The 21,271-nt window shown below is 44.4% G+C and overlaps 1 long non-coding RNA gene across 6 annotated transcripts in view, besides 1 other annotated feature; it reads left to right on the plus strand.

The window, feature by feature from the left end:
* The window catches only part of LINC02981 (long intergenic non-protein coding RNA 2981), a 142,382-nt gene that overhangs the window by 74,611 nt on the left and 46,500 nt on the right, over positions 1-21,271 (plus strand). For all 6 annotated transcript variants that reach the window (NR_148499.1, NR_148501.1, NR_148502.1 and 3 more), the window contains one exon: positions 20,616-21,084. This is a non-coding gene — a long non-coding RNA (long intergenic non-protein coding RNA 2981). The remainder of the gene's footprint in view (positions 1-20,615; positions 21,085-21,271) is intronic.
* Positions 11,863-12,837: an enhancer, noted in NCBI's record as "VISTA enhancer hs769". NCBI's record gives its function as "enhancer in: neural tube[5/7]" and the evidence as "EXISTENCE:transgenic organism evidence [ECO:0001131][PMID:17130149]".

The following is a 21,271-nucleotide window of genomic DNA, read 5'->3' on the forward strand; positions in this document are numbered from 1 at the left end:
AGATGACTTTGCATTTTCTGGAATTTTATATAGATGGAATTACACAGTATGTGCTATTGTTTGTCTGGTTTCTTTCATCCAGTATACTTATTCTGAAATTCATCTACGTTGTTGAGTTTATCAACAATTGTATGAATAGAGCACAATTTATTAATCCACTCACTTGTTGATGGCTATTTGGGTTATTTCTGGATTTAGAGGATTGGAAATAAAGCTGCTATGAACGTTTGTGTCCAAGAGTTTGTGTAGACTTCAGCTTTCATTTCTCTTGGGTAAATACCTACAAGTGCAATGGCTGGGTCATATGGCAAGGTCTATGTTTAACTTCTTAAGAAACTGCCAAGCAGATAAAGCATTGCACCATATTAAGTTTTGATATTGGTCGGGGGCAGTGGTTCACGCCTGTAATCCCAGCACTTTGGGAGGCCGAGGCGGGTGGATCACGAGGTCAGGAGATCGAGACCATCCTGGCTAACACGGTGAAACCCCGACTCTACTAAAAATAAAAAATAAAAAAATTAGCCGGGCGTGGTGGTGGCACACGCTTGTAGTCCCAGCTACTCGGGAGGCTGGGGCAGGAGAATGGCATGAACCCAGGAGATGGAGCTTGCAATGAGGGGAGATCACGCCATTGCATTCCAGCCTGGGTGACAGAGTGAGACTCTCTCAAGAAAAAAAAAAAGTTTTGATATTTAATTTAAAATAATGCAAGTGAATTTGCGTTAGTCTAAAGTGCCCTTAGATTAAGAGCGTAGGATCATAGGACAGGGGATCTAGAATGTACTTGAGAGTGTACATCCAGTTCTTTGCTTTACTACAGAGGAAACAGTGATCCACAGAAGCAAAGTGAGTTTTCCAAGGTCTTTCACCTTAAAGGCTAGTCTCTTTACTCTTCTATAAGACCTTTCAGTGTGGGAGCAATGCTACCATCATGTTGCAATTTCCCAACATAGCCCTGTGTTATGGCCACAAGGGCACAGATTTCACCTTGCATGTTACACAACTTTGGGCATGAAACATGTTTTGAAACTGGAGAATTTGTCAAGACCTGGAGTAAAGAGAATCAAAAGGGTAATAAGTATAATCTACAGGAAATCATATTTGACCACTCACCGTATCAACATCAGTGCAACAGCAAGTAAAATAAAAATGTGCTATCATCGTGGATCCTCGGAGCATGGAGGAGGTCCACCTAGTTTCTGAACAAACTGATGGATCCAAAGATTCAGACCACTGAGCAGCCCATTAAAAGTGAAGACAACAGCAGTGCCATTTACCCAGCTGCCTTGGTTTACCTTCCTAGCACCCACTTCTTATTATCATATTCATAAGTGTGGCCTCTAATCAGTCTTCTTAAGTAAAGTTAACAAGTATATGTGTGCACTCTCTTGAAATTGTTTTGCTTAGCCTAAGAAGCTGTCATGGGGTTGAGAAGGCTGCCGCTTTAACCAGATTTCATCTCTGTGTGTCACTGCTCATGTCAAAGTAAAAATGTGCTCAGACATAAGAGTTGTCCTGCTTTCATCAAGAGCGCCAGCCTGCCTGAGCCTCGTTCCACTTGGTTAAGCTTGTTATTTAAATTGTTAAAATTGAGACATCGGCAGTAAATTTCAGAGAAGATATAACAATTATTAGATACAAGCTGGGCTCTTGTACTTGAGAATATCCCATGCCCTCCATCCACCAGCAGAATTAGCCACAAATAATTTACAATGGTTTCTCTAAGAAGTGCACCCTGTAGTACTTGGATGGCATTAAATCACAGTCTGTCCCCAACTGGATAATATTTCTAACTTTAAGATAGATTTGGTTCCAGTCAGCAGAGTGGCGGCACACTCCAGAGGCTACCTTTTAATGCCTATAACTCTTGAAGAGCTGAGTGAGGATCCTGAAGCTGCCTTCTGCCTACGAGCTTTGTGTTTGGGTAATTTTATACACTAGGCATTGGAGCCACAGTCCAGAACAATCGTCCTGTAAGGGTGAGGAGAAGTAAAAGCCAGGAGGCTCTCTGAGTGACCTTGTGTCACTATGACCTTGTGGTGATCATGTCCTGTTCCCTGTCTGACTGTGCCCAGGCAAAGGTTGGAGAGAAGGGATAAGAATGGATGAAACTTGGAGTCTACAGGTAGATCATCAGAGGCCACCTGGTCTGACTTCTACAGCCTCCCTCTCAGTGAAGGAACCCCAAAAAGGACATGATTATTTAGGAGTTGATTCATTCTTTTGACTTTAAGATCAACAGAATTCCCCAGAGTTGGTTGTTGTTTTTGTCGTTGTGTAATATGAACGACTCTCAAGCCAAACGTCTCCCAAAATCAGTACTTATGGAATGGATTGCTTGGACACAAATGTAGTACCTGACATTTAGTGATGCTAAATATCATCAGAGTGATGAAACTTGATCAAAGTGATTTTGGTCCATTACTTAGTGATGCTAAATTTCATCAGAGTGATTTTGGTCCATTATTTCTATTAATGAAAATATTTTAAAAGTTTGAACCTGACATTTGATGTGTCAGATTGTATATTCTTTAAATTTCTGTATCTTTGTCCAAATCATAGAGAAAAATAGTAATTCCAGAGCTGGGAGAAAACTTGCACATTGCCAATCCAATGCTCTCTTTTAAAAAATCAATAAACTAAGAACTAGCCAGGCCAAATCGCTTTCCCAAAGTCATACATCAAGATAGTGGCATTAAACCACAAATGCTCTTTGAGTATATGTTGTCTCGTTATTTGAAAATTCATCTCACTATAAAATAAGCACACATTTCTTCATTTTATTCATAAGACTATTCTATAAAATAAAAGGTATATATAAATAAACATACCTTTCTAAGGTCAGGACCTGGTCTTGGCATTTCCGTCTGTATTATCCACTCCCAAGGCATCACCTGAGATCCTCTTACCTGTACAGTCTGGTTTATTTTCGGGAATTGGCTTATGTGATTATGGAGGCTGGCAAGTCTAAAATCTGCAATGTGGACCAGGCTGAGACCCAAGAGAGCCAATGGTGCAGTTACAGTGTAAAGGCTGGCAGAGGGTCACTGATTCAAATATTAGTCTCATCCAAAAGCACCCTTTAATTTGACACATAAAATTAACCATCACAAGGGGTTAATACCCTTTGAAACAAAATTTTCACTATTAAGGTATGGGAATTAGTGGATATTCCTTCTTGTCTTCCCCTGTCCTCCACCCCACCAGTCACCCTTGCCCTACTGGATGGGCTGAAATGCAGTAATTCCTATGGCCGCTCTGAAGACCACCTGCACAATTGAGCAAGAGGTTGTGCTTGCATGTAAATGGAGCCCAGCTTGATATCTCACCTTCCTTTTTTTCCTTTTTCCCTGGCTCACTCCTTCTTTCCCTCACTTTTGCATCCCTGGGATGCAACAAAGCTTCAGTACATAAACTTTGGCCTCAGGCTTCATTTTTCTAGGAACTTGGCCTACTATATCTTATTAACTAGCAACCCCCTCCCCCCTTTTTTTTTCTCTTTTGAGACAGGGTCTTGCTCTGTCCCCTAGGCTGGAGTGCAGTGGCACGATCATGGCTTACTGTAACCTCAACCTCTGGGGCTCAAGTGATCCTCCCACCTCAGTCTCCCAAGTAGCTAGGATTACAGGCATACACCACCATGCCCAGATAATTTTTATTTAATTTTTTTTTTTTTTTTTTTTTGTGGAGATGGGGTCTTGTTTTGTTTCCCAGGCTGGTCTCAAACTCCTGGGATCAAGTGATTCTCCTGTCTCAGCCTCTGAAAGTTCTGGGATTACAGGTATAAGCCACTGCACCCAGCCTGAAAACCCCTTTTCAAATCTGACTAACAGCCAGAAGCCCATTGTACAAAATACACACTCCCAACTTTGCACTCATATAATTTCAAGATCCTCTTACTGCAACGTTTCAGTTGCTTCCCTCTGACCTTTTAAAAACCAGTTGTATATTATGTCCTGAGCTTCAGTGTCAGGTACTATTATTACCACTTGTACATTGAATCTGAACTTTAACTTTGTCAGTTTGACTCACGTAGCCCAAATCAATCCTCTCTGTCTAGACAAAACAATTTAACTTTGTAACTGACCAATTATGTAGCACTTATTTATTGGAAAATTTGTAAGTTCAGGGCATGGTGAGGGATATGAAGTATACAAGACATAATTTCTGCTCTCAAAATGCTCACAGTCTACCAAGTATTTTTGCTTTCAGTTCCCTCATCAAATTGAAAATATATTTACCAAATTAGACATTTGAAATAATTTTATAAGGTCTATTGATCCACATGTTCAAAATTCGAATGCTCTGGTTGGAGCCATTACAAATCTTGGTAGTGATGAGCCAGCAGGTGCAAACCAAGCTTGGAGACTGCAGAGGAGGAAGGAGGCAGTAGCTGGAGGCAGTGAGAGACCTCAGCAGGTTTAAGGAAGCTTTTTTCTCTCGGGGCTGGCTGCTATTTTAAGGAGACTTGAAGGGGGCAGAGCCACACACAATACAAAAATGGCAAGCCATCCCATAGACAATGTTGGCTCTGAAATATACAGAATAATTGTTTTTTAGTGGTATACTTAGAATCTTAAAACTTGTTTAAGCCAATGTTACGATTAAATTACAGTCAGTTTCTGAAGCACAGAGGGACTTGCAAGATGGAGCAGAAATCTGATGGCTAAAATTAGGTTGTAGAGTTTTCCAGCATTTTCCTGCTATCTGACTACCAGAGAGGCACAGATAATCCAAGTTAGTAGTGTAATTGGTGGTTGGCGAGAAGTCTTCTGTTTTAGATACACATCTCAGCCATTTTGTATTTTTTTACCATATTTTTGAGTCTATAAAAAGAAGATGCAGGGCTGGGTGTGGTGGCCACTGCTGTAATCCCTGCACTCTGGGAGGCCAAGGCAGGAGGATCACTTGAGGTCAGGAGTTCAAAACCAGCCTGGGCAGCATGGCAAAACCCGATCTCCACCAAGAATACAAAAAACTAGCTGCACATGGTAGCATGTGCCTGTAGTCCCAACTACTCAGGAGGCTGAGGTGGGAGGATCGCTTGAGCCTAGGAGGTGGAGGTTGCAGTGAGCTGAGTTCACGCCACTGAACTCCAGGCTGGGTGACAGAGCGAGACCCCATCTGAAAAAGAAAAGAAAAAAGATGTGGATAGACTCTTTTGAAATAAAGGACTAGACAGAAAACCTTTATGAACAACATATTTCCTGAATTACAGATGCACTATCTCAACGTATCCCTGAACTGTGAAAAATTACTATAAGATCTAATATCTTTAAAAACATCCTTTTGTTTTATTTTGCCTTTTGATAATTGGTCTTGACCCTTTTCAGGCAAAACTCCTACTGACTTTCAATTGATTGAGCTGATTTGACTTGAATAAGGTCAGCTACAAATGGTCCCCTTTCTACTCTACATTCTGATCACATGATGCAATGTGTCATAACGCCACAATGATATGTATTGGCAATCTTATACTGGTGATTAATTGCTGGGAAAGTAATTTCTTTATAAGTGCACTCGAATGCTTTTGGTGGCCTGACATCATAGGGAACTCAGGTACACTGGCTCAGTAGGGCCCCAAGAAGCTGATTTAATACTCCCATCCTACCCCACATGAACCCATCTTGGAAAATAATGGTAGCAGTTAACATGTCTTGAATGCTGACTCCGCCAGGCACTGTGTAAAACAGTTTGCATGCACCAGCCTCAGCTCCTGTAATCTTCATGACAGCCCCATGGGGCAGGTACTATGAGGCACGTGTTACTGGCCTAGTTGGAGACCACTGGAGAGGTCAGTTATATTGCCCAAGGCCACATAGGTGTTTGGGAGGCAGACACACTGGCTCCAAAGCCCAGCAGAGGCCCTGCAACAGCTGCCTCATTTTCCTCTCCCACCTGGCCTTCCCCCTCTTCTCCCTCTCCCCCATATCCCAGCCATACAGCCTCTTGCTGATTTGCCACCCTTCCAAGGGGCTTCCCCTGCTCAGTGCCCTTGCACTTGCTGTTTGTTCTGCCTGGCCCACTCTTCCTGCTCGTTGTCATGTGGCTGGATTCTTTTAACATGTTAGATGTCAGCTCACATGCCACCGTTCTGGGCAGGCTGTCCCTGATCACTCCCTGGAAAGTAGGCCTCCTCCCCTGGCTAGCTGGGTTAGTGCCACTTACTATGTCAAATCTCCTTCCTTTATAGCGTTTCTCACAATCTATACCTATCTTGTTTGCAATAGCATTTTGTTTATCTCCCACTGGAACGTAAGTCCTAGAGGACAGCTTTGACTTCAGTATCACTCTAGCTCAAGCACCTAGGACAGTGACCAATGCTTCATAGATGCTCCACCACGACTGCTGAATGTTCAAGGAGCCAAGCTAGTAGGAACAAAACTGCTGATGGGGTGCCTGGCAGGTGTGTAGCCTGGGTGGGCTCTCCAGGTGGAAGGGAGCAAAGGTGCTGAAGAGGATAAGTGTGGGCTTCAGAAGGAAGACACCTTTCCAATAGAGCTTGCTTTTTTTGTGCTTGTCTACTGCCTTGTTCTCTGATTTCTCCTCTGGGCTTACTCTAGATGCACCCTATGCCTCTCAAGCATTTTCTTGCTCACAGTGGAAATACTTGCCTCGGTGCCAGGAGAGATGTTGAAACTGACTTTTGCTGTCTCAGGACTGATGGGGACTGGCGTTTGCTTTGCAGGGTCACTGTGAACACCAGACAGTCCAGGAAATCCAAGAAGGCAGCTAACCAAAGGGACTTCAGCATCTGGAAGACTGGACTGAGGCGGGGGTGTACTTGACAGGGGTGGCTACTGACCACACACCTCCTTGAAAGGTGTCGTGGCTCATTACCAGCTGGTTTTCTTGGTGAGAAGTGACTTGATCCTAGTGCTTTGGTGTGAGCCCACTGCCTCAGGAGGACTTGTTGGTCCTAACTAAGTATGAAACCAGTTATTAGATAAAATGTCTTTTTACCCCAAGGTTGGGAGGGAGATGGGAAGGGCCACTAGTATTTGTAGGGTCAGCCTGCTCCCGTTTCTGGCAGCACACAGCAGGGCTCCAGCATCATGAGGCATTGCACATTCACTCTCCAAGTTCAAAGCGCATCCTTGCAGCCTTTCAAAGCGTCTGACATCCTTTCAAGTTCGCTGTTACAAAGGCAAATGCAAATAGAGCGCATTTCGGAGGCGTTGTGTCAGTCAGCCCTCAATCTGTATGTTCTTCCAGACACTCCTTCTCCTGCCTGATTTATTTCATATTAAAAGGGCTGTCAATCTGCATCAAGGGAACAGTTTGAGAAAGAGTGAGTGATGTTTGTCGAGTTTGCTCTTTGTTGTTGTTTGCTGTTGTTAAAAATAACGGTCCCCCCATCTTTGTGGCCATATTCCTGACTCACCCTACACAGCTCTCCTCACCCCTGCTTACCTTGTCTGCAGGTATCTACACACCAGGGGTATGAATTCCACGTACTAGAAACATTTCCACTAGAAACGTATTTTGTGAGACTGTGGCAGACCCTTTTTTATTATCCATCAAATATATCTCTTTTTACCATCTGATGGCTTGGCAACAGGACCATTCTTTTTTCCAATAAAATAAATGTGCCTGCAGCATGGCAGAATATTCAGCATTGAAGAGGCTTTGCCCTGGCTAATGCGAGCTGCATTCTGCGGGCTTCATTACGACGGGACACTAATGATGCACTCCACGGCTCCCGACGGGATTGCTTTATTGTACCAGCTGCATTATTGTTTTATGTTAGTATATTGATTATTGCCTTCTCCTGTCATTTAGGCCAGGTTTTCTTACTTTTATCTGCAATTTTGGCCTACAAATAGAGTTGCCCCATCATTCTGTACTATTAATTTTTGAAGGTGCCTGATACCTTGTGAACCAACCAATCAAGCCTGTCTTCACTTGCCATATGAAAACTCCCAAATTACAAAGTCACAAGAAGTCAGATGGTCTCTGAACATAGAGTCTTAAGCTAGTGGCTTTAATTTGAGTGTGCATGGGAATTACCTTCAGGAGCTTGTTGAAAGGCAAACTCCTGAGCCCCAACCCCAGAAATGTAGCAGGTGTAGGGTTGGGGCCCAGGAAGCTGCCTTTTAAATAATCACTTGGGTGATGCTCAGGATAAGGCATGGGATGGGAGTGAAGGTAGAGTCAGGTGCTTGGCAATGAGGGAACTGGCAGGAGGCCACAGACTGTGTTCCTTGACCCAGGCTCCACTCTCCTCCCTCCAGGCTGTCTCCTGGCTCCTCCCTTGCCCAGTCTTTTCTCCCCTCATACTGTCTCTTTTTGGCTCTGCTATCAAGAGGTATTTCAGATGAGAACATAACCACTTAGGAGAAAGGCCCAAATCAGAAATGATATTAATGCTGCTCTCTTCCTTCCAAAAGAATTAGCCACATAATACAATTTTATGGTGAAGAGACAGGAGGGAGAGGGGAGGAATAAGAAAAATATTCTAGAATAAAACTATATGCAAACCATCGTTCAGTAACAAAGCCCTCCAGGGCCTGAGGAAAATGCTGTTTTCAAGGAAGCAACAGACTCACCTCTGTGAGGCTGGGACACGGGGAGAAGCCATGAGGCACCCAGGGAGGGCCAGATGCAAGAAGATGCTGCCATGGGAAGCGCTTTCCCTTGGTTCACAGCTCCACAGACTCCCTTTGCTTTCGGGTAACACCCACTGAAAGGTGGGCCCTGAAGAGAATAGGGCAGATCCATGAGGACCCAATGGGAACTGGGAAGAAAACTCATGGAACACCTACAAATAAATAAATTATATTAGAAACAAAGATAATAAATACCCCAGACTCATTGATTCCACTTATGGTACTGTATGTTACTTTCATCTGTGTCCAGAGGTTATTTACATCTATCATATTTGTACAGTGGAAATATACAATAGTGGGCTACTATGTGTCTTATTCCAATTTTGCATTCAGTGACATCACCTTGGCAACTTGAGATGGACCATGGTAGGAGTATTTACACTGTTGAAATCAGCATATGTTGCGAATCAGTGCTTGATTTATTGTTTTGTTGACTAGACTTAAAAAGGCGATGGAGAAAATGTTTAATGATGCAGATTAAGCTTAAAAGGGTGTCATGTCTGTAGCTGTTACATTAGGAGTAGCACAAAAATTTGAGGGAATATTCTTCCAGTATATGGAAACTATTATCTGATTCAGCAAAGACGTCACTCATGTCATTGATGAAACAATGTAGCTCTAACACATGTCTTTGTTTTTCACTTTTGTTCTACTCATTAATGTAAATGAAAATATCAACCACTATTCATGTCAGAATTATACTTGTTTATCACTCGCAGCCTACAATTAGTATGGATATAAGAGTTTGCCAAAAATCTGCGAAAGCCTTTTAAGAGATTCAGTTGGCTATATGGAATTGCAATAAAGAGAGTCCACTAATTTTATTTTTATTTGTAAATTATGTGCTACACATCCTTCAAATAAGTAAAATTCATAATAAACTTATGTGCACATAAATTTATAGCTGCTACATACAGACAGCTTCTTTCTTCCTGCCTCTTCCCCTCCCCATGCCAATTATTAAACATTTGCTAGCCCATCACTGCCTTAATTACATTTACAAATGAATCCCAAGTAGGGAGCAAACTTATTCAGGGTCTTATCTCACCTACTGGATGAGGGACTTCTTGAGTAAAGAGCCCATGTCTGATTCAATCCTTTGTCTGCTATTTTGCCTAGCACAGAGCCTGTGCTCAGTAAGTGCTAAAAATGCTGAACACATAGTGTATCTCAATAGGAGCATGTCAACTAATTGTTAATTCCATAAAATACCCATGGCAAGAGTAAAACACGTAGGATCCCTGGTCCGTTATAATTTGGGACTAGCAATTAGGATGCAATTGCTGAGATGCAATTGCTGCTTCATTTGCAAGAAGCTCTCTGCTTGTTTACATTTGGGATGATAGCTGAGCCTGGCTCTCCATCCCTCAGCCATCTTTTCTATTTATGGTGCAGTCTTTGAAAGTCACCTTGTGTTCGGTATGCAGTGCCAGTGTGTTGGAGCATGGTGAAGACTGCAGCTGGAATGAAGAAGGAGAGACAAGAAAGATGAGAAGGTGCAGGGGAGGTGATACTAGTCACATAACTAGCTCATTTCCTTGTCTGGTGCCAGCGACTGTGCTGCATACTATACACATAGTATTTTGTTTAAACCTCACAATCAACCTTGTGAAGCCATATTATCAACCTCATTTTACATTTAAGAAAATCGAGGCTTAGAGAGGTTAAATAAGCAGACAAGTCTGTAGCAGAGCTAGGATGCCCAAAGGAGGGCTGGCGCTGGCTGTGCCCGCTTCTGTGACTGAATGAGCTTTGGCAACCATGTAGACTTTTCTTTTCTCATGGCCCCTGGAATCCTGGTCATGGATAATGTTTGGGATTATATTTTGGTATACGTGTATACGAGCCTACCCCAAGGGGATATTTGGGCTTTTTTTTTTTTTTTTTTTTTTTTTGAGGCTGTTTGTGTCACCAGTACATTGGGGACTTTTCTGGAGTTGCTACAGGGTTCTGCTGTTCTGGAGACGGCTTAATGGTGCCTGTGCTGGGAATTTTCCTGGCTTCTTTCACGGAGGTCAAGTCCTCAGGCGTTGGAGAAAGAGGGGCTCAGAAGGAAGCCTGTTGCGTGCCAAGGTTGTCCTTAAAACACCCAAGAGAAGGAGGCTCTGGAACGCTCCTCAAGTGGCTTGTTCCACTGTTTAAAAAATTTTACTTCCAGGAATTTCCAATTTATATCTGCTCTGATTTTCTCACTGTGTTTGAGTGCATTTCCCAGATTAGAGGACTCACACTGCCTCAGTCCTTGGGGATTTTGTGGATCTTGGGTTATGAGACGTTCTCAAGTGTGTTAGTATAGAAATATTGTGTTCCCAGAGGGCTCTGCAAGCCTCCTTGGCACCCTGGCACCCAAGTGTTCACTCAAGCCAGGCCAGAAAGTGTCGGTGTGTGAGTAGCCCACCATCTGGATGGGTGGCTGCTTCTCCCCATACGGGTCTAATTGCAGTGGTATTTCCTATTCCTCACTGATTCCTATGATATTTGCTGCCATAATGTGTCTCACAATGAACTCATTTGGTATTAATGTGAATGTAATATGCCGTTCCATAGGAATTCCACTGTAATTTAGCATTCATTAATGTCCACTTATTGTAAAGTGGTACAGAAAACACTTTATCGCCCATAAATTGGCAAAGCAGTTTCCCTGTGTGTGTATGTATGTTGTGTGTATCATTTAATGAGGTCCCTGTGAACTCGGAAACCCTAGTAAATATAAAATTCATATGAAGTCCCAGGTCATAAATCAAGCAACTATTGCAAATGACCTTACCATATGAAGGTCAAATGTGCTTGGTCCCGTCAAAGAACTTAGATCTTTTGCAGTGTCCAAAGATATCCCAATACTTTGTTCCGATGACCCCATATCAAAGGTTCCTTCAGCCATATGTATTTCCTGAGTTCTGCTAGGAGCTCCTAAATTCCCTCCATTGACCATTTGTTGCATTTCTAACCTGACAACCCCTCCCAGGGAGAGCCACGTTTGCCTCCCTTGTTCATGGGATTTTTCCTCTGTGACACTTCTGAACACTAAGTGAACAGTGCTTTTTGAACCCATCCCACTTAGAAGCTAAACTCCTGTCTCAATAGTTTCAGCTAGATTTAAGATCAAAGGCAGAGGTAAAAGTCAGTGTAGCAATGCAAAGCATTAATCTCCTATGTCAGATGCTTTCACTGTTGCTTTTTTAAAAAAACATTTCAATAGCTTGACATATTATTCATTTATATGCAATAGGAAGAATTTACTTTGCTTCATGCTGTATATTTACCACTGCATCGTTCTGGGATTTCTCTTTTTTTGTTGTTGTTGTTTTTAACAAAGTTCATCTGTGTACTAAAAATAATCGCAACAAAATAAATGCAACACACCACACCCCCGCTCTTCTTTATCCTTTTGATACCATTTTCTCTGTGATGTAACTGAGTGATTTTGCAGCAGAAAGCTCCAAAAATTAAACCTGAACTTTCCAAATAGCTTCCTAATAACCGCTGCCCAAATCAATGGGGCTCCATGAATATTTTGACACAGTTTAAATGGGTTTGTATCCTCACCACTGAGATCTGGTGATTTAGCCTGTCAGGCTGCAAATGTGGAAATATCACCTCTCACTGAGCAAAGTCCAATATCTCATTAGAAATGAAAATAGAAGAGAAGGGAAGCACAAATGCTGTCAGTGGCGGTGAGGAAAGAAATTAAACCTCCGGAGGCCTGTATATCTTATACAAAAGATTATGCACTGCCAGGCTATATAAATCATGCCAGGGCTCTGGGGCTGCAATGGGCTAGAAAATAAAAAACCATAAAAGTGTCATATTGAAATACAGTCACTGAGAATTCTTTTATGATGAGTCTAAATTCGCCTGACATTCTCGCAAATTCAGGGGCCTGCTTGGGTTGTTTATCCCCGGCCTTTCTCTGTCAGTCACGAAGTCCCAGTTTCCACAGCAAATTATTCTAAACAGGGCTTATTATCAAGGCATAAAAAAGTTAAAACACAGATGGCTGGAGAGTTCCTGTTTAATTTAAATGCCCTGTGGCCCACATCAATGTGAGTCTGTCTTGCCCTAGATTTACTATCAATAAATTGGCTGCACTTATTAGATGGCAGAGCCCTAAGATGTTGGTGGGAGTATTTCAAATGGAATTAACATGAAGAGATGCAGAGCTGTATACTATCATCTGTGAAATATGGAGAAGGACAAGCAATACATAAACAGGTATGACCACTTGCACCCGGGTCTACATGGGCCAGCATGCCTCCACCAGGATGAAGAGCCTCGTCTGTCATAGGAATTAAATTATCATCTCAGGCTTAATTACCAGTGGCATTTTCTCCCTGAGTTCAGAAAAGTTTTGTTTTGTGTTGTTTTAAATAAATGATTGGCATAACACAACCCAATGGTGATCCAGATTTTCAGAGCAAGTATAGGAGGTTTGGGCCCAGCGAACCAACAGGGTACATACAAGCATTTGATTTGGAATGACATGCTGCCGGTTTGTGAAGATACGGGCCGGCTCTCTTCTTGGCTGATTTATCTTTCAGCACCGCTTGTGCATCAGCCTGTCAGTCAGTGAGTGACACTGTCAGGTTTCTTGGTGTGCTGAGGACACTGCAGTGGGTGACTGGGCAAGTTGAGGAGATGCAGAGAAGCCCCTTGAGGCAAACTCAGCCCAGGGGATCTGAGCTGGGCGTGGAGATGAACAGAATTCCGGGTGCACCAAAAGTTGCCATTAAATGTCCTATTTACGTGAAAAGACAACTGCAGTGTGGCACCATGGCCCTGGGAGAACAGCAGCTTCTTTTTTTTTTTTTGGAGAAAGGTTCTCATTCTGTTACCCAGGCTCATTGCAACCTCTGCCTCCCGGGTTCAAGAGATTTTCCCACCTCAGCCTCCCCAGTAGCTGGGACTATAGGTGTGCGCCACCACACCTGACTGATTTTTGTATTTTTTGGTAGAGACGGGGTGTCATCATGTTGGCCAGGCTAGTCTCAAACTCCTGACCTCAGGTGATCACCTGCCTTGGCCTCCTAAAGTGCTGGGAGGGGCTTCTTAACCATCAACAGAAATGGGCTGGAGCCAGGCAGACCTGGGTTTCAGTCCCAATTTTGCCTTTCAGTAGGTGGTTGCCTGTGAGTTTGTGGCACATTACTTGATTTCTTTGATCTTTGATTCATCTAGGGAAAAAGAGAATAATCTGATCTACCTCTGCGGGTGCTGGTAAGGATTAAATAAGAAGATACATGCAGACCCAGCATGGTGCCGAGCACACTAAGCATTCAGCAAATGGTAACTATGGAAGCCCCGTCACTCCCACCCCTGTCTTACTACACAATGATGGTGGTCTCCTCTCTACCTGAGTCAGACCCATTTAAGGAAATGTGGAAGGAGAAATGCTCCAGGCTCCTCCCCGTTTCCCAAAAAGAACAAAATGAATGGAGACAAGCCGTGAACTTGGCTTTATCACTCTCTTGCATGGTCTGGCTTTAGGGGAAGAAAGAAGACCAGGGAGGAAATCTGCAGTGTGAGCCACTCTTCTCCCCCAGGGTTACTTCTCGGGCTTTTGCATGGGCAATTCTACCTGTAGGTAAAATTTCCATAGGCCCAGGAAACAAAGTAAGTCCAGCAAGTGCTTGGCTAACTGTTGGCAACCAAGGACTTCTGAGATTTTTGCTTATAAGGTTCACCCCAGTTCATGCTTTCAAATGCCCTTGTCTCTCTGCAAAGCCAGCTTCCTTCAAGATTTGTAACTTGGCTTTGGTCAAATAACTTTGAAATTGAATGCTGTATCTCAAGATTGATGGCCCAATAGGCATCAGGACCACATTTGTTTCCTGCCCAGGACTTTTTCAGGGGAGGAGGGATGAATGCGGAAAGGTAGAGCACAATATCAAGGTCCACGAGGGGTGTTCTGCTCCCTTGCCCTACCCCCACATACACACCAACACTACCTGCCTCTCAGCTTCTCTTGCAGCCAGCAGGCCTACTGATCCATCATTTATCACTGTGAGGTGCTGCCTAGAAATCAGGCCCTATGGTTTATTGATGTTGCCACTACTTGGAGGGTCCCGGGAGCCAGGCGCTAGTGGGTTTACTCTTGCAGTGGATGCTGTGGGGCTCTACCCAGATTCTCCTTCAGGACCAAAGCATCATTCCCTCGGCTACCAGGAGCACTGCCTGCTGGTGGCTTACAGTGGAAGCTCTTGGCCTTTGGCCAAAGAGGGCTGCCTTGCTCAAGGATATGACCTCTCCTGGGGGTATCTTGCATTCAATGACTGGCCACTGTGGGGGATACAAAGGCTGGACCCCCTTGCCTCAGTTGGGCCAGTTCTAGGGGCCATCCCAACCCCTGTGTGGCCAGCTGAGGCCTCTGCTGTGACTGCAGCCCAGTTCAGCCTCTCCTGCAGCCCAAGGCTGCTGCCCGCATTCACTCACAGGTGTGGTTCCTATTGGACAACTCTCCAATAGGCCCCCTGGACACAATCTTATTTCAGAGTCTGCTTCCTGGAAAATCTGACATGCCACAATGCTCCCAAAGTCCCTTGGGTGGAGGATTTCATAATGAACAGCCAGGGAGGAAAGACTTTCAGAATGTAAGAGAGAACAATGCGTGACAACCACACCACTGATGTAAATTCAATCTCCAGTCTCCATGACCAGTTCCCCCTCCTGCTCTCCTGGGTGGGTTGGGGGAAGAAGGTAGCTATAGATGTGGTTACAATAAGGTATAGGCTAATGAAATGGTTGAGCCATATTTTTTTTTTCTAGAGTGTCATCACAATCTGAAAATACCATTATCTGTCTGACCCTGAAGGCTTTAATCCATTCTTGGGCAAATTTCTGTGTTTTGGGGGAAATCTAAAAATGAGCCTGTGGAGAGGCATGAGGACTGGTTTATGAGTAGGAGTGGTTAGTCGATCACCTGTTGTATGTGCTTTGAATTAAATGATATAATTCTCTTGCATTATATCCAAAATTCCAATAAAGATCTGATATTTGAGTTTTGAAAAATTCGTCTGTTATCCATATGCAAAAATGATAAGGTGATAGTTTAATACCTTATCAATGACTGGTTGTGGGCTAGCTTAGAGCAAGGGAATGCTTAGAGGGGAGCGGGGATGTGGGTGTGCGGGAGCAGGGGGTTTGTAGGATGAGGTGGCGGGGACAAAGACAAACAACACCTGTTTTTAATTTCTTAGCTGAATACTGTGATGGTATGAGCTCAAACAATGTTTCCCAAAATGCAGTGCCCATATCCCTGGTGAAACCAAAGGGGATAGTAAATGCTACACAAAAAAATTACTGTTTTCATCGTTGTGAATTTGTTACAGTTACCTTCTATTATGGCAAATGTTTTTGGTCTTCTATGTATAGGTAGTGATAAAAAGGTTTCTTTTAAAATAAATTTATTTAAATACAAAATAATTGCTTAAATTAAATATATAGTAGTACAAGTGGCCTTCAGTTAAAAAAATCACAATGGTGGTATGTGAATGATGAAAGTGTGGTTATAAAATCTATTGGCTCCAGAATCAGAGCAGAGAGTTTGCTATCTAGCACATTGTGGAAACTTAGCAAATAGTATATAAAATGCCAAATAACACCATCTAGGCTGCATGTCAAATTGTTAAAACTGCTAACATTTTTGCTGTTTTTGTTGTGTTCCTAACTAAGCTAGTTTTTCCCTCTGCTAAATATTGAGCAGAATTGTTTGAGGACTTTGAGTGTCTAGCATGTTTGCACGGTTGATGAGATTTTGTTACTTATCATGTCCATGTCCATATATTATTGCCCATGAATTACACACCCAACATGTATCAGATATCACTAAAGCCCATTAATGAAACATAAAAAGCTAGAGAATTTAAAGGGAATTGGGGCAGCAGGGGGCTGGAAATCTTCTAGTCTGGAAGATTTCCAGACTAAATATAGAAGCACTTTAAGAACCTTGAGACAACTAGTGGTTTCAAACTTTTTCAGTCACAGAACATTCTGTTCAAATAGTAATAGATCTTACTAAGAAGCCCCTGAGTGCCATGGAGAAAATGATGAAGAACTGCTTGGTTGGAGAGGTGGGGCAGGGGGGTGCTGAGAACAGGAGAGTCCCGCAGGTGATACACAAATGAAGTGTCCCTTCCTCTTTCTGCCAGTGCCCACATCCCACCCAGTTCCAGCCCACCCCTGAGGCTCTTGGGGTGTGGCACACTGTTTGAAAACCTAACCTGAAACAGTTTTCCTTCTTATTCCCTCTGCAACTGTCATTTTGTGTCTGCGGTGTGGTCAATGGGCTTTTATTTTATGGTATGACACAGTGACCGCATACTATCTCTCAGAGCACGACAGATGTGTCTTGCCCAAGGGCGCATATATATATATATATGTATGTGTGTGTATTGAGGGGAAAAACAAACAAATGACCTAGACTATAAGCTCTGTCAGGGCCTGGAGTTTCTGGCTTGTTCATCATTGTGTAGCCCTGGCACTTAGAAAGTCTCCTGGTTCACACTGAATGAACAAACAAAAGAATGAGTAGAAAAGATAAGTTAGTCATCGATAAATTTTGAAAAATGGAATTAATGGGTCAAAAGGTGTGCACATTTTCAAATCTTTTAGTGAATGAGTTTCTTATGAAGACCAGCTGGGGCAGTGGGAGAGGCCATAGTAATCTAAATGTGGTGAGCCCTGCAGGGGATAGTGCCTGGGGTGAGGCAGTAGCGAATGACACAGAAAAGAAAATGCAAATTTGAGATGCTCAGAGAAGAAAGTAAGAATACTAGTGATGGGTGGGTTTGGGAACCTGCGAGACTTGAGCCAAAAGCACTTTTGGTTTGGATCACAAAGATGCTGTGTGAAGGATTGGAAATACCATGGTAATCCTTCACAAAGCCAGTCAGAAGCTTAGCTCAGGGCAGAAGCCAAGTGTTGGCTTAAAAGACATAACTCAGCAGCCTGTGAGGCAGCTCTGGGTGCACCATGCCATGGAGGAGCAAGCAGGAATGGCTGCATGCCCAACAGCTGCCCTGCTGAGTCTGCCGAATCTGAGCCTCAGTCACTGGGCTGGGACGAGTGTGCTCCTGTCATACATGTACAAAGTGTCCCCACCTCTCCTGAGGCTCCTCCCTTCTCCACCTCTCTGAGCCATCCCGCAAGGCATTGGGTGTTTTCCACCTATTCCCTAAGCTTTTCCAGAAAGCCTAGCCCTTGGAGAGCCTCTCTAGTCCCTGAGCACTCCTAGTCCTCATGGCCTGTGGTGTTTATTTGACACCTATCCCTGCCTGGGCGGCTCACTGGATATGCACAGGGCATCTCCCTAACTGGATGACAGGACAGGGAGGGCAGGGTCTGCTGCAATTTCATACTTTCCACACCTCTCATAAGATGCTCCCTCAGGCCATCTGGCTGACTGAATGATACTGATAAACCGAGTGGCTTCTGGGAATGCTCCATTTCCAGTTCCCTCCTGAACCATATGCTTTTTTGGGATTATCCAGCCCATTAACGCCCACAGACTGGCTCATGAGTAGGTTTTCTGAGACCGAAGAGGGGCTTGATTTCTTAGAGCCTCACAGTGGAAAAGTACCAGGAGGTGCAGCGTTTTCTCCTTGTAGAACATTCCCACCCATAGGTGTCACCTGCTATATATGCTAAAGCAACTTGCTCCACAGAGAAATATGTTTAAAAGCTCTGCTGGCATAATTCCAGGTGGATTCAGCTAAGCTACTCTGAAGGAACATGCACACACACGCAGACACACACCCCCCCCACACACAGTGAGATTATTCATAGTAAAGGACTTAGTGACCCAGCTTTAAGGGCAGCTGTACGCACCCATCTTGGATAAACAAAGAAACCTGTAAATGAAATGATGAGGTGTGATCCGTGACATTATCCTCACCTAACAACTATACTTCGAAATTGTACTTCTATGCACCATCCCTCCAGACCCTATTCTGAAAGATGTGGCCAAGAGTCAGAGAGGAGGGAGGGGAGCATCTTGATGGGTAGAATCTCAAGGCGATGGGCCACTTAGCTGGAGACTTGCAGGGGACTTGCCTCCTCCAGGCACCTGGCCCAGCTCCAAGAGCCCATCGCCAGGGCTGGGGGTGTGAAAATCCAGCTCACTTTCTGTCCCTCTTTCCTTTGCGTGTTCTGGTTCCTGCTTCTGGCCTCGAATAATGGGAGAGAAAAGCAGAAAAATACTGTGTTTAGGAGCTCAGCTTTTGGAGATGGCAGTGAGGAGGGTGGGAGACAGGTTTAACTTCCTGTTACACCAGACAGTGGGACCTTGAATAATTTGTTCAACATCTCCGAGCTTTGATTTCCTCATCTGAAAATGAGTTGATATTTACCTCACAAGATTCTTGTGAAAAATAAATGGAATAATAATTGTAAAGCTTTCAGCATAGTGTCGGGCGCATAGGAAGAGTTCAATAGGTACACGTATACAGCGACTACTTATTAAGCACCTGCTATGTGCCAGGGATTGTTCTAGGCATTTGGATCACATCAGTGAATGGTGGCTAGTGTTATGCGACCCAGCCAGCTTGGATCCTGGTGGGGTGGGCTGCGTGTGAGGTTGGAGAGAAGCGTGGCTGAGCTTGTGATAGGGTAACCTCCATATACTACTTCTACTGAACCCCAGAGTGAGCAGTGGGAAGGGGAGAATGAGGGGGCCACATGATCACCCACACCATCAGAGAGACCTGGGTCCATTCCCCATTGGTAGCTGGAACGCAAAACTCCCACAGTTGAGTCTAGCACATGGGTCCGTGTCCTCTTACGGGGTAGGGGGTACCCAGTGATGTGGTCAAGAGCCTCCCTCACCCCTGCCCCGAGCTCAGGTTAGCCCCAGCTGCCTCTCCCTGGAACCTGCTGTTGGCCTTCTCGTCTTTTTCTGGGTTTCAGCAGCACTGACAGAAGAATGGGTTTAGTTAGGCATGAAACTATACTCAGACTTCCCTTGAAAGCAGTTTCCAGATCTCTTCCTCAATTCATTCCTTCCCTCCATTTACCTTGTCTGGTTTACCATGGTGCTGGCCTCTGCTCCCAGGGGTCAAGATTTGAGCACCTAAGACACTCAGCAATGGAGGTGACTCTGTGGAAGTTAGGGTGGCACATTCATTTCCACGAACTGTTTCTTGGGACAACAACAATAAAAAGGCATGGAGGAAGTAATTACAGCTGGAGCCACAGATCTTGCACATGGCAGCAGGAGTTGTTTTGCCTGTTGGAGATTAAGAGGTATAGTTTCCATGTCAATTACGGGTGGGAAACCCGCCAAGCTCAGTGCTGTTCTCTCATCCTTTCTGTATTTTAGGACATCTGTGCAGCCTTACCATTCCTATGGACAGAAGCAGGAATGTCACCTCCAAACACAGGAGAGCTTGTGTTAGCTGAGCTCTGGGAAAAAGGCATATTTGGGGTTTCCCGGCAGCCCCTATGCCAGGGCTTGGTTTTCAAGGTTGCCTGCAGTCTGGCCTCCTGCAGGCCCTGCAGCAATGGATATTTAGAGCAATCCACATGCACAGTACTGATGGCTGGTGCCCAGGGGAGTCTGCCGGTCTCTTATGGGTAGGAAGAGAGTTTGCTTCTTGAACCAGTTAATAAGGAAGCATGGGCCAAGGGCCCCAAACAAGGGGATTTTCTTAAGCACATCTCAGCATTAGGCACAGCTCTGGGGCACTTTAGGTACAGGCCTGAGGCAACGACAGTAGGGAAAAAACTCCATTCTTAGCCAGGTTACCCCAGTGTGCTACCAATGGGTATTTCAGAGTTCCTCAGCAGGGACTGCGTCTCCAGGCCCTGGGACACCTTGCAAACCTGTTGTTTCTATTGAAAGGGCCCAGGCCCACCCCACTGCTGGCCTGTGGTTCTCTTCTGCTCTTTCACTCTAGCTTGTTCTCTTAGGACACCATCTCTAGGAAGAGGGGTGGCCAACCAAGACAGATGGGTCGCCAGGGCACCCGCTCCCACTCTGGTTAATAATGATCTCCCTTCCCCTCTGCTTCCCAGTACCAGAGATGTCTCCAAGAGCACCAGCAACCCCAGCTATCTGGATCTGAAGTGGATATGCTCAGAGACATCCTGGCCCACCCCAAAGAAGATGCTGCTGCACTCAGAAGACGCCAGAGCTAGCCACCACCCACACTGCAAGTCTGGAAGCTCTGCAAGGACCCAGCAAGGCAGCCTGCTCAGCGAAGGCTTTGTCTCCTGTGGCAGGAAGAGCAACATTAAGAACAAGAACCCCGGGCTGGACTACCCCTGAGATTTAATGACCAGAGCTGAGACCCCCAAGACCACAATGACTATGGAGGGCTGTCATTACCCTGCCTGACCCTCTAATGCCTCTCAGTTCAAGGAGGCCACTGAGTGAAACTGAAGGCTGGTTTTCCTTGGAAGCCAGCGGCCCATCCACCTGCTCCACTTCCCTGCCTCTTGCAGCCTCCGCTCAAACACTGTCGTGGCTTGGCAGCACTACAAGGCAGAGTGAAAACAGATACTTCTACCCACATTCCTATCTCCTCTCATTTACGCAGATTAAATGCTTTCTTTCCTTGTTTTACACTGCTAGGATTTTCATCACCCTGTTTTTTCTTTCTCTACATCAGCTACAAGAAAAAAAAAAGGAGTTACTGAGCAACTAAGAAGTCACAACTGTTTTCAGTTTT

This window comes from Homo sapiens, chromosome 7, assembly GCF_000001405.40.
Source record: "Homo sapiens chromosome 7, GRCh38.p14 Primary Assembly".
In the NCBI taxonomy this organism is placed as follows: Eukaryota; Metazoa; Chordata; class Mammalia; order Primates; family Hominidae; genus Homo; species Homo sapiens.